Here is a 12,762-nt window from a genome sequence, read left to right on the forward strand (position 1 = left end):
AACTGAGACCTTCTATGTGTGAGACCCAGTGGACACTGGGGTGGAAAGCCAATGCTTGTGGAATGAGGGGATGGATGGGTAGGGCCTGTCCTGAGTCTCTGGCTGGCCAGCTGTGAGTCGCAGCCCCAAGCCATTCCTTCTGAGCTTCAGGCTCCTTTTCTGTAAAATTCATGAGCGGACATTTAATTTTTTAATTAAAAACTCTGATTTTTTTTAATAGTGGATATATTTACATATTTGAAAATAAAAATAAAATGAGAGGATTGTCGAGTGAAATGCTCCTTCTGCCCCATCTGTCCATTCCCTCCCTCTTAGCTAGACACTGCTATCAATTTCCTACATCCTGAAGAGTTTCTTTTGAATGTGTTTACTTTAAAGCAAACACATATGTTCGTTTCCTTCCTTTTGCACCAGTGGTAGCATAGTGAACACACTGCTTTGTGCTTTGCTTTTTAAGTGGTGTTTTAAGCTATAAGATACAAGATACCTGTGTGACATCTGAGATAGTCTCTCTTTTTGAAAGATATACACCCCAAATTCATAAGGTCTTTGAGAACAGTGACTGTGCTCCCTTCTTCTTAGCTGACCTCAGGCCATGCCCATGGCTGGGAATGGCACGGTGGAGCACAGACTTCTGGAGTCAGTAGAGTCACATTCTTGGTAAGCTTGGAGACCTCTGCTTTCATAGCTGCAAAATGGGGACAATAATAGTCCCTGCCTCAAAGAGTTGTGGTTGAGATGAGTTGATTGGAGTGCTGAGTCTGCAGCCCTCTGCTTAGTGTCTGGCACAGAGTAGGTGCTCAATAAATGGTAGAAATGGTGACTCCCTGAGGTGAGTGCCATCAGTGTGTCTGTGAAGGGGTGGGCTGCGGGGCTGGCTCAGAGGACCTGACATCTCCCCTTTAGCTGGTGGGGCTGGCAGGATGAGGTTCTTCTTTACAGCATACCTGGGATCTCATATCTCCTCATGTGTGTTCCATCAGAGAGAAGCTATTCCTGCCCGAGCAGCGGCATGATAGCTGGAAGGAACCTGTTGGGTTGGATCAGAATCCTGAGACAGGTTGTCATGGCTGAGGCTTTGTGAAGGCAGAGTGGGTCACTCCTCAGCATGCCTGCTCCTGCCCCTATTTCAGAGAAGCCATTAGGGAGGGTTAAGAACCTCTTGCCACTGTCATTTGGCTCTACTTAAACAAGTACACTGAAGGCCCTCAGAGCCCACCAAAGCTGCTTTGTGTGCTGGGAGAAGGAGGAGGAGAGGATCCAAGGCCCAAGTGCTTTCTCGCTGTCCTTGGATGCCTCTGGCAAGAGAGAGTGGCGGCCCAGATGGGATGTGCCGAGGCAGACCCTCCTGCAGCTCATCACCTCTTGCCACTGCCTCTGTAGCAAGCCCTCCCTGCTCCACCTGCTCCCAGACCTGTCCCCTTGAATCTGTCTTCATCTCTGTCCCTGGAATCATTGACTTGCAGGTCAACATGGATTGTCTCTCTCCTGGGCTGACCCAGTGCATGGCTGGCCCCGTCTGCATAGTCAGGTTCTCCTACCTTAGCCTGTATTCAAGACTTCCTGTGATGTGGGCTTCAGTGTCTGGCCTGATTCCCCTCTGCCACCTCCCGATGGGCTGGGTTGCTTCCTCCACCCGCAAATTGCCAGCTTGGGCAGGACTGGGAACCAAACAGACACAACATCCAGCGCCTCTTACCCTCTTACTATTTAGGCAGAACTTGCCATCATTTACTCCCAGAGCTGGTCTCGCCTCTTTCAGCTGGCCTTCTGTCCACCTCTCCCTCCTCCGAGCTCCTCCTCATCACTGGGCTCTGAGCCCCAGGTGGTCTGCTGTGGATTATTTCCATGGGTGCCACTTTCCTCAGAAGAAAGAGTATAATGTGCTAGTTAAGAATATGGACTTCATTTTCACACTGTCTGGGTTCAGATCTCTTCCTGGCTGTGGCAAGCACTTCACCTCTGAGTCTTAGTTTCCTCACTTGCCAACAGGAGTAATTGTTCCTACCGCGTGGGTGCTGATTGAATGAAAGGATGCAGGTGAATTACTTAGCACAGAATTGGACATCACGTAAACAGTTGCTACATGTTAGCTGTTAGTATTAGACCACTGGGCTCTGATTTCTAACACAGGAAGAAATAGCCTGACCTTCACCCCACTCATCCCTGTAGGACAGAGGCTGGCCTGGTGGGGGCACTCAGAAGGGGTATCCACAGTTCATTTTGGGACTACAGGAAAGATCCAATCTTTTCACTCTCTTCCCTTCAGGCTCCCCCCAGCCCCATCCTAGTCCACACCCCTAAAGGGATTCCCAGAATTTCGGAACCCTGATCAACATAAACCCTGGGCCCCTCAGGCAGGTGCCAGCCAGGAGTAGTGGATTTACAAGGTAAGGACGTATAAGATGTGACAGGCCTGGAATTAGCAATGCAATTCCTCTGTCATTTTTATCATTGGCCCCTGCAGGGAGGAGCTGATTAAATGGATATTCAACTCTTTGCATTAATGTGCATCCAGCTTCAATTTGCATTTCATTAGCCGCACAAAAAGCATAATTTTATTATTTGCCGTTGGAAAGCAGATCTCTGCTAACAAGCAGCTACACGCTGTTCCTGAAATATGGTGTGACTGACTCGCTCCGCTGTCTAGCTCACCCTGCTATCTTCTTCCCCCTCTGCAGACTTCCGGCGCTCTGGTGAAGGTGGTACATGGCAGATTTGGCTTTATCATGGCGGGCTGTGTTCTCATTCCAGCCCTGGTCCCGCAGAGGGCTCTGTATTTCTCAGGTACCTGGGGAGGCAGGATTGACAGCTGCCATCTTCCTGGTCAGTCATTGTCATCACCACTAGTAACATTAACACTATCAAAACAGTGTTTCCACCCTCATAATACCACCTTCACCATACTCACATTGCAATTATTATCATTATTATTACGTCAGTATCGTCATCACCTCCACCATCACCATCATTATCATTTCCATTACCACCACCCTTCTCACCTCCCTCATCATCACCTCCACTACTTCTATCACGCTGATACATCCACAACCAATATTAACACATCACCATCATCACCTCCACCGTCACCACTCTAATCACCTCCACCATCACTCTGACCATCACTATCACCAATTCCACCCCCACTGCCATCATATCTATTACCATGATCACTTCTATCACCTCCACTGTGCTAATAATATCTTGCCCACAGCTGTTATCACCATCACCATCATCACCTCCACTGCTACTTCCACCACCACCACTATCATCACCTCTACCACCACTACCACCACAGTCTCCACTACCATGACTAACTCCACTCAGCCAAACTAACACCATCTTCACCACCATCACCCTCCTCCCACTACCTCCACATCCCAGTACTTTCACTGGTACCTCCACACTAATCTAATCACTGTCTCTCTCAACACCCTCAGAACTATCACTGCCACCCTCACTACCACTATGATCACCACCCTCTCTGCCACCAACACCACTGTCTCCACATCTTCCATGTCAGTGAGGACCTTGACCATCACAGCATCCACACTGTGTCTTTGACATTACTTTTAAAAATCTGAAAGCACCAGCATTGAAAATTTTCATTGCTGTCAGAGTCCATGGATCTGTGGTCCCTATATGGGAGTGTTGCAATAAGCAGAGTGACTGGAGCCCTTGAGGGGAGCAGGGTCCAGGTGACCAGTGCCAAGGGATCTGGAGAGTGAAGCAGAGGGACAGTACAGTAAAACCACTGGTGGGAGCATGAATTTGGAGGCAGATGGAATTGATCTCTGATGCACCATGGGACCTTGAATGAGCCACTTTTCTGAGCCCTAGTTTCCTATCAGTCAAGTGGGACTAATAATACCCCTTCATTGAGTTGAATATTAATTAAATGACAACATGTGTTCTGAGGATCTGCAGAGTGAAAGCTGCCAGTTCTCTGCCGTGATGCCCTCAGATCCTCTTGGATGTCCTTTATGAGCTCCATGCATCCCTGCCCCAGCGCTTGCATGCTTCTCTCCTAACAGCTTGCAGTTGCAACCTTCTTGAGACACCTGCAGGCTATTGCAGTTGCTTTGCTCAAAGGTACTGAGAACCAGAAGTGTCCCAGAAAGGCCTGCAGACAATGATCAGGAGGCCGGAGTATGAAAGCCCAGCTCTTTTCCTTCAAGGCGGGCAAACTCAGAGATGGAATTTACACTGTAGAGCTCCCTGCAGGATCAGGCCTTGGTGGGGACTTCACCTGTAATTGTATCATTGCGTGGCTTCTTCCCTTCCCTGTCTTGTTTTCCCCACTCCCTTTCTGGGTTCTCCCAGGAGCAATTTCATAATGCTTGCATGTGAATTTTCATGTCAGGTCTGCCTGTGACATGACGCATAGCAGGATTTCAATTCACCATGGTTCCCTCCTCCTCTTCTCATGTTCATCAAGTACATTAGCCAATAGAGGGCTGTCACACATATTGTTCATTGGAAGTGTAAGCTAACCCTGGCAGTTTCTTAGAGTGGGAATTATTACGCCCATTCTGCAGGTGCACAACTGAGACCCATGTGAAAGATCACGGAGTTAGTAGGTGGAAAAGGTGAGGTGTAAATCATGTCTTCTGTATTCAAGTCCAGCCTTCTTCCTGCAGTACCAGCCTGCAGAATTCTCTGAGCTCAGGGCTGGCTTAAGCCTGGGCCGGCATGTATAGATGAGATATGATTCTGGATCAGTTGCCAGGCAGAGAGCTCAGACTCCAATCTTCTTTCTCCCTTGCCTTGAGCACCACCTTCCCACCCCTGTACCTAGAGCACAGCTGAATCATACCACAATGGGATCATCTGGAAAAAACAATGACGTGACTGGTTTAAAAGGAAGACCATGCAGTGAAGGAGACCCTGTCCCCTGCTCACATGCTGTGTGACCTTGGGCAAATTGTGAAATCTCTCTGAGCCCTGGTTTCCTTATTTAGTCTTTCCAGCCACCAGGTGGGGCACGGGCTGTTATCCTCCTAATTTTAGAGCTGGCTGAGAGCAGTAATAGATGTTCCGGGAAGGGGAGGCTCAAGCAGAACAGAGAACAAATGCTCTTGTCCTCTTCTCCCAGTGCAAGAATCCCCTGAGCTGCATTTCTGACAATGTACATCTGGCTATGCCAGCGACCTTGCGCTCTTGCAGAGGCCCTTTCTGGCTCAGGCTACCAGCATTCTTCCCAGAGAGCCCACTGGCCTTCCACTGGGTCTGGTGGGATTCCTGGAGGTTGTTCAGATGACCATGCCTTTCAGGGATTTGAGGACAGCTTCCTGTGCCCTGAAGTCTGTTCTTTCTTAGCCCCAATAAGGGAGCATAAAGTAGCTGCTTACACATTCCTTTCATCCCCAGATCATTCTCCTCTGGGTCTCTGCTCACAGACCTTCCATCAAGAAATTCACTACAGTGTGTTGGAACAGTCTATGTACCTGACTACCACACAAGGTATGCTCCTTAAGGACAGAGATCTCATCTTAGTCTTTAAATCTCCACAGCCCAGCCCTGAATCTGGCTCAGTGGAAGTCCTCAAACGCAACAGAATAAAGTGGACTTTGAAGTCAGGAAGACTTGCATTAAAATCCCAGCTTTACTGCTAGTTAGCTGTGGCGTCTTAGGCTGTTTTTTTTTTGTTTTGTTTTGTTTTGTTTTTTTGTTTTTGCTTCTTTAAGCTTCAGTTTCCTCATCTGTGAAATGGTCTGATAGTATCACTTATTTCACAGGGCTGTTGTAAGGATCAAATGGCATCATGAATGGAGGGTACCAAGTCCTGCACCCAGCCTGCAGTGACTAGCACCTGCTCCCTGCTGAACATGGTGGCTGGGGCTGGACATGGTCCTTGGGGGTGTGATCTGAGCAGCCTGCAGCATTCTGGGCCTTTCAACTGCCGCATCCTGGTACCAGTCTCATGCTTCCTGGTACCCTACAGATGGCTGTCTCCTGGTGGAGTCACCAGGTTGGAGGGGTCCTCAGAATGCCAACAGAACAGAGCAGCCCTGAGCTCCGGCACCTGTCACTGTGGCTTGACTGGATACATATCTCCAGACCAAGGCAAGCATCTCTGGCAGAACCCACTGTGGAGATCCTAAATTGGCACCCCGTAGAGTGAGCTGTCTGATTCTACAAAGGCAGTATTTCTAGGTTTCAAAGGAACTGAATAATTTAAAATGCACAAGACAAAAAGTGGGATTAAGGTGATCTGATAGGCTCTCCAGGCTGGGGTATCAATTATACTCTCAACTCGTAAAGCCTTATTTGTGAGATTCAGAATTTATTATCTGTCTGAAGCACTAATTACCAGGTTTCTCTCTTTTAATTTTACAGGTCTCTTCTCAGATTTATTTTTCTCTTTTTTCCCTCCCACTGGGGACAAATAGCTTCCATTCCTGAAGGGAAGTTGCCTGCTTGGAGATGGACAGAGGAAGATATTTGGGTTCAGCTTATCCCCTCTGGGCACTTTGGGGGAAGCAGCATGGGTTGGGGCAGGAGAACTCTAATGTGTATGTGTTAATAAACTTACTGTTTTCTAAAATTTTGTCAAAGGTATGCATGTTTATAGTTTAAAGAGGTGAAGAGTTCCATGTGGCCTACTGTATTTTTCCTTCCTTGTATAACTTTTATTTTCCTAGGAGCTAATAACTATCTTGTTCTTTTGTTTGCTTGCCTTTCTCTGTACTTATCACTAATTCAACTCCAGAGTCTTTACTGATTGCCTATTCCAATATTTTCACCCACATCAGGTGCTCTATCAATTTCATTGTCCTGAAGAGTTTCCCTGACAGCCTTCTGACCTGGTGCCCTCAGAACAGGCAGCATTCTGTGCCCGGGCCTCGTCTCATCCCGGGATCTCCCTTTATCAGCTTCCTAGGGATGCCCTTCCCTCCTCTCCTGTGTCAGAGTTTCCTGCCTGTTCAGTCTCCATCTATTTTGGTTTACAACTTTGTTTTGTTAGAGCACATCCTCTAATGGCTTCTCAGGAAGAATCCATGGGAGACAAAAATTTTGCCTTTCTGGAAATCATACTTGATTATTTGGTTGGATATAAAATTCAGGAGTGAGTTTTTTCTTTTGAAAATGAACTTTTCACATTATCATTTTGTTTCCAGTGATGTAAATAAGTCAATGCCATTCTGCTTCCTAAGTCTCTTATATATTACCTGTTTTTTCCCCCTCTTATTAGGAAGCTTGTGAGCTCTTCTCATTGTTGCCAGAGATCTGAAAGTTAATCTTGCTGTGCTGTGGTGAAAACTTATATTTATCCATTGTATTGAATACTTGATGGAACTTTGAGTCTAGAAACTCATGCTTTTCAGTTTTGGGAAATTTTCCTAAATTATTTCTTGGATGACTTTCTTTCCTCTGTTTTTTTTTTTTCTTTTATCTCTCTGAGAACTTCTATAGTTTATGTATTAGAATTCCTGAATTGATCTTCTAATTTTATCTTTTTTTCTTAATTTTTTCCCTTTGAATTGTTGTACTCTTTTTTGAAATCTTTCTTCAACTTCATCTTCCAATCCTTTTATTTTTACTGCTTTATTCTTTTATATATTTGATTTTCAAATTATCCTTCATACAGCTCCAGAGAGAGTGTGCTAAAACACTGACTTATCATATTAAAGCCTTACTGGCTTTCCATTTTGCCTACAGAAGTCCTGTGTTTTTGGTATGATCTGTGGGCCCCAGCACATTTCTCCAGAGTCATCACATTAAGCCTCTCCATGTAGCCAATGCTGCATCTGCTCCAGCCAACTCACCATGCTGGATGCATGATGAAAAGACCCTCTTTTAGTCTTACTGGTCTCTTTTTAAATTTATTTTTCCCCCACTGGGGCCCAACAGCTCTCATTCGTAAAAAGGAATTGCCTGCTTAGAGATAGAGGATTTTGCTCTGACGGAGGCTTCCTTCTAGAATGCTTTTACCCTGACTGCTCTCACAGTTGACTATGGTCCTGCCTTCCCCACTGGACTGAGAAGTCCCCAAGGCCAGGAGCTGTTCTGAGCACCTATCAAGCCCCAGGCCCACAGCAAGATAGGTGTTCCATCCACACTTGATGAGAGTTGATGAGTGCTCTCATGTAAACCTCTGGACTAGTCTCCTAACAGGTCCAGGGATGAATCCAACACAATCTCTGCATTCAGCTGATTGACATAAGATGAGGACGAGGGCACACAAAGTATGTTCATGTACACACACACACATACACACACAGACTGAGTCAATAGGTGGTTGATTGCCACTAGTGCATTAAGAGAGGGACACAAAACGTGCAAGGAGAATTTCTGGGAAACAAAACTCCCATCATATCCATGAAAGCTTTCTTACGGGGTGCTGCAGTGCTACCTCTCTGGGCCAGTGTGTGGACCTCAGGTGTCTCTGCCTCCCTAGGTGGGCCTCCCTTTGGTCTTTGCTGCCATCTCTCTGGCTGCTCTGTCCTTCTCTTAAGAACAGGGTAAAACCATTTTCCATTCTTTTCAATACTGAACAGCAGGCTGACATTTGCAAAAATTCTTTCTCTGTAAATAGGAGCAAATCAGGAAGAGCTGAATTCTCTTAGCTCTGGCTAACTTTAGTGCCCGGATGGGGTCCATACTCTGTCCCAAGGGAGCCTGTTTTACTAGTAGCTGCCATTCACTGGGCACGTCCTATGTGCCAAGCACCATGTGAAGTGCTCCAGGTATGTGATCTCATTTAAGCCTCAAAACAGATCTGTCGGGCAGGTATTGTCGTCATTTTATATACTAGGAAGCTGAAGCTCAGAGAGGTTAAATGACTAATTCAAGATCAGACGTCCAAAAAGGCAGAATAAGCCAGGATTCAGATCCAGGTATGGTGATTCCACCCTTAAACACAATAAGAAAGAAAAAAGAGAGAAGGAGGCCACAAAGGTTCTCATTTGGGTCAAGCACGGTGGCTCATGTCTGTAATCTCAGCACTTTAGGAGCCTGAGGTGGACAGATCAGCTTGAGGCCAGAGTTTGAGATCAGCCTGGCTAACTAACATGGTGAGGACCTGGTCTCTACTAAAAATGAAAAAATTAGCAGGTGTGGTGGCAAACGCCTGTAATCCCAGCTATTGGGAGGCTGAGGCATGAGAACTGCTTGAGCCTGGGAGGCAGGGGTTGCATGAGCTGAGATTGTGCCATTGACCTGAGATTGTGCCATTGCACACAGGCCTGGGTGACAGAGCAAGACTCTGTCTCAAAAAAAAAAAAAAAAAGGTTCTCATTGGGAGCCCCTATACAATGGCTCTGGGTAAGAGACAGCTCAGGGGAACGAGGGCAGGGAGGAGGACTACATGGATCCCATGCAGCTTTTGTCCCTGGACCAAGGCCAGACAGAGATGTGACCCTAGGAAATGACAGCTTTTGTGGTGTGTCGGCTGGGGCCCCTGGTGAGGTACTGGATGTGGCTGGCAGCGGTTCTCACTTTGTGGCTGACTTCATCAGGCAGTTGCAGAGGAATGGGAAGACTTAGTTAGTAGTGCAGTCTGAAGGAAGGAGCCTCCGAGACTGTCCAGCTGATCTCTTTGCTTCATTCACCCCAGAGGAGGCAGAGGCCCCAGGAAAGGAGCTGACCTCTCTAAGCCCACATGGTGCATGGGGGCAGGGACTGGCCCATGGACCTGATCTCCTGTTGTCTATCCCAGGACTCCTCCCACGGTGCGTTGGAGAGGCATTTCTGGCCCCAGAGAGCAAAGAGCTCTACCAAGAACACGGCTCAGAGAGACCAAAGAGAACAAGAACCATAGAAGATGACATGGGAGACTAGGATATGATTCAGGTTATTCTAAAATGCCATTTGCATTCTTAGGAAAGAAGTGCCATTTAATTACTCTATGTGCCTGATAGCAACTCCAACAGCCAGAGAAGATGTACCCTAGGAGGCCTTTCATGGTGGAGACAGTCCTCATTCTGAACTTCTAAAAGGATCCCAGCCTTGATGCTTGAACACTGCTGGGGGAGGGTCAATTGTCACACCATTATGAGAAACAATTAGGCATTATCCAGAAAAGTCTGAGAAGCCCACACCTTATGACCCGGAGAGCCTTTGGAGTAGTACACAGAAAATCTCTTGGACCCGTGCTCCAGGAGGCACAGGTAAGAATGTTCGTGCCACATTACTGAATACAACCCAAATGCTCATTGCAGTAGAACGGATCAGTAAACTGTGTATGTTCATCCCACGGAGAATGAGCGATCTACAGCTACATGTGAATAAATCTCAGGAATGTAACGTTGAGTGAAAAGAGCAGGTCTCAGAAGAATACACAGAGCGTGATTTTATTTATGGGAAATAAAAAGACACGCAAAACTACTGTTTAGGGATACAAATATGTATAGTAAAATTACAAAGAAGGGCAAAGGAGTGAGAAGAATAAAGTTCAGGATGGTGGTGTTTGTGGTTACTGCTCTAGGAAGGGAAGGGACTAGAATCAGGGGGATCACACAAGGCACCAAAATGATCAAGTTCAGTTTGTTCAGCTGGGTGGTTGGTATATGGGTGGGTTATGGGTATTCTTATTCATTTATATATATTTATTTTCTTTTTTAAACTTCCTTTTATTTTTTTAGAGATGGGGACTTGCTATGTTGCCAGGCTGGTCTCGAACTCCTGGCTTCAAGCCTCATAAAATGTTGAAATTACAGGCGTGAGCCGTTCCACTTGGCTTTTTTATTTTAGCCTTACATATATTTTATAATTGTTATTTTGTGTTACAATAAATATGTAACAGATTTCAAGTGTGGTTGTTTTATAAAATAACAGATAAATAAGCAAAAAATATAAGTTGCTTATTATCTCTCCTCTAGGAGACAAACTGATATGGTTTGGCTGTGTCCCCACCCAAATCTCATCTCGAATTGCAGCTTCCATAATTCCCTCATGTTGTGAGAGGGAGCCAGTGGGAGATACTGGGTTCCTCCCAGTACGGGAGTATTCCCGCACACTGTTCTCATGGTGGTGAGTAAGTCTCACAAGATCTGATGGTTTTATAAGGGGAAAACCCTTTCGCTTGGCTCTCACTCTTCTCTTGTCTGCTGCCATGTGAGATGTGCCTTTCACCTTCTGCCATGATTGTGAGGCCTCCCCAGCCACGTGGAACTGTGAGTCCATTAAACCTCTTCCTTTTGTAAATTGGCCAGTCTTGGGTATGTCTTTATCAGCAACATGAAAACGGACTTATACACAAACACAGTGAAAATGGACTAATACACAAACACAGGCCATCTTTTGGTGTGGGTCATCCCAGGCTTTTATGGACTCATTTTATTTGTTCAATATTTGCTGATTTGCATCAGTCTCTACCTGTGGGTGTGTCCAGGCTGAGACAGAGCTGGGACTGGCTGATTCTTCTGAGGCTAGACCTAGTTTTCCTCCTTTCCCATCCCCAGCAGTTGTCTCTGTAGGAGTGGAGGGACTTTCTTTTTTTGTGGTTGTATTTGGAGAGAAAGAGCTTTGGAGATTTTTTTTTTTTCTGGAGCACATAGATGGGACAAGAGGGGAGACCCCTGCCTGGCCTGAAGAATTGGATTTTGGCCCTGATGAAAGAGGAAATGGGGCAGAGACTGCCTGAATGGAGTTAAGAAAATGCCTGGGGAGACTCTGAGCTCAAGGAGGCCCATGTTGGGATCCAGGGCCAACACAGCATCAGGTCAGTGCTAGAACTGAGTGACAATATGGGATGGGGGCCAGGCAGCAGTCCCTCAGTGGTGCAGTCCTCGACAAACCAGATGGATGGCCCTGTCTGCAGGTGCCTCCTTGATTAGCTCACAGTCCCACAGGAGGGCCAGCCAGACTTGTTCTGAGCACAAGAGGTGCCTGTGGTGTCTCTCAACAACAACTTGGGGAGATTTTCCAAAGGAGGTGATAACGCTCTGCAGCTAGGCAGTTAGGATCCAGAGCTACCAGGATTTGAATATAATGCTAGTATGACTACATTCATATGCACAGCTGTCACTAAATAATATTTTATTAAATAATTTTAAATGGTTGCCATATTATTCTGTTGTTTGGATGCATTGAGGTTAGTTTATCTGATCCCTTATTGTTGGGATATTAAGTTGTTTCTCTCTATAAGCAATTCTGCAATAAATGTTTTTGAACATTTGTGACTATTTCCTAAGAAACATTATTAGAAATACGCTTACTAGGGTAATGGATTTGCAATTTTTTTTTCAGGTTTCTTTCCTTTTTGCTGAAGGGTTTGCAAAATTTTAAGGATTTTGATGTAAATTGCTAAAATGTCATCCAGAAGGAATATGTGAATTCGTATTTACCAGCGATAAGTAAAATACCTGTTTCCTCACACTCTTGCCAAGATGGAATATGATTTTAAAATATATTTTGCATATTGAAGAATCATAAATTATGATATCTCATTTTCATTGTTGCATTTCTTTGGTTTCAGAAGAAAGTAAACTTTTTTCATGTGTTTATAGGACATTTAATTTTTTGGCATTATCTGTTCATCTTTTGCCATGTTTTTCTATCTGGATATTCGTATTTTTTCAATACAATTTGAAGCACTGTTTATACGTTGAGATTGTGACCCCCTTTTTTCTTTTTCAGGGATAAAAACAACTAGTGTATTGATTTGGGGAGGAGAGAAGGGGTGCAGATGGGAAATGGGGAGGCAAGGGCTCTTTAGTGTTTCCCAAAACCACTGCCACACCCCCTCCACCCTCTCTTGCCTTCCTCCTCTATGGTGGGCCCCAGCAGGCTCTCCCCCTTTCCAGTGACCTCCCTCTC

General features: G+C 45.7%; 1 long non-coding RNA gene across 1 annotated transcript; it reads left to right on the forward strand.

Moving 5' to 3' along the window:
• The first annotated feature begins 1,872 nt into the window (after positions 1-1,872).
• LOC124902467 (uncharacterized) lies at positions 1,873-6,547 on the forward strand. The gene is made up of 2 exons (XR_007062210.1): positions 1,873-5,463; positions 5,739-6,547. It is a non-coding gene; the product is annotated as an uncharacterized LOC124902467 (long non-coding RNA).
• The last annotated feature ends 6,215 nt before the right edge of the window (positions 6,548-12,762 follow it).

The sequence above is a fragment of the Homo sapiens genome, chromosome 10 (genome assembly GCF_000001405.40).
Source record: "Homo sapiens chromosome 10, GRCh38.p14 Primary Assembly".
In the NCBI taxonomy this organism is placed as follows: domain Eukaryota; kingdom Metazoa; phylum Chordata; class Mammalia; order Primates; family Hominidae; genus Homo; species Homo sapiens.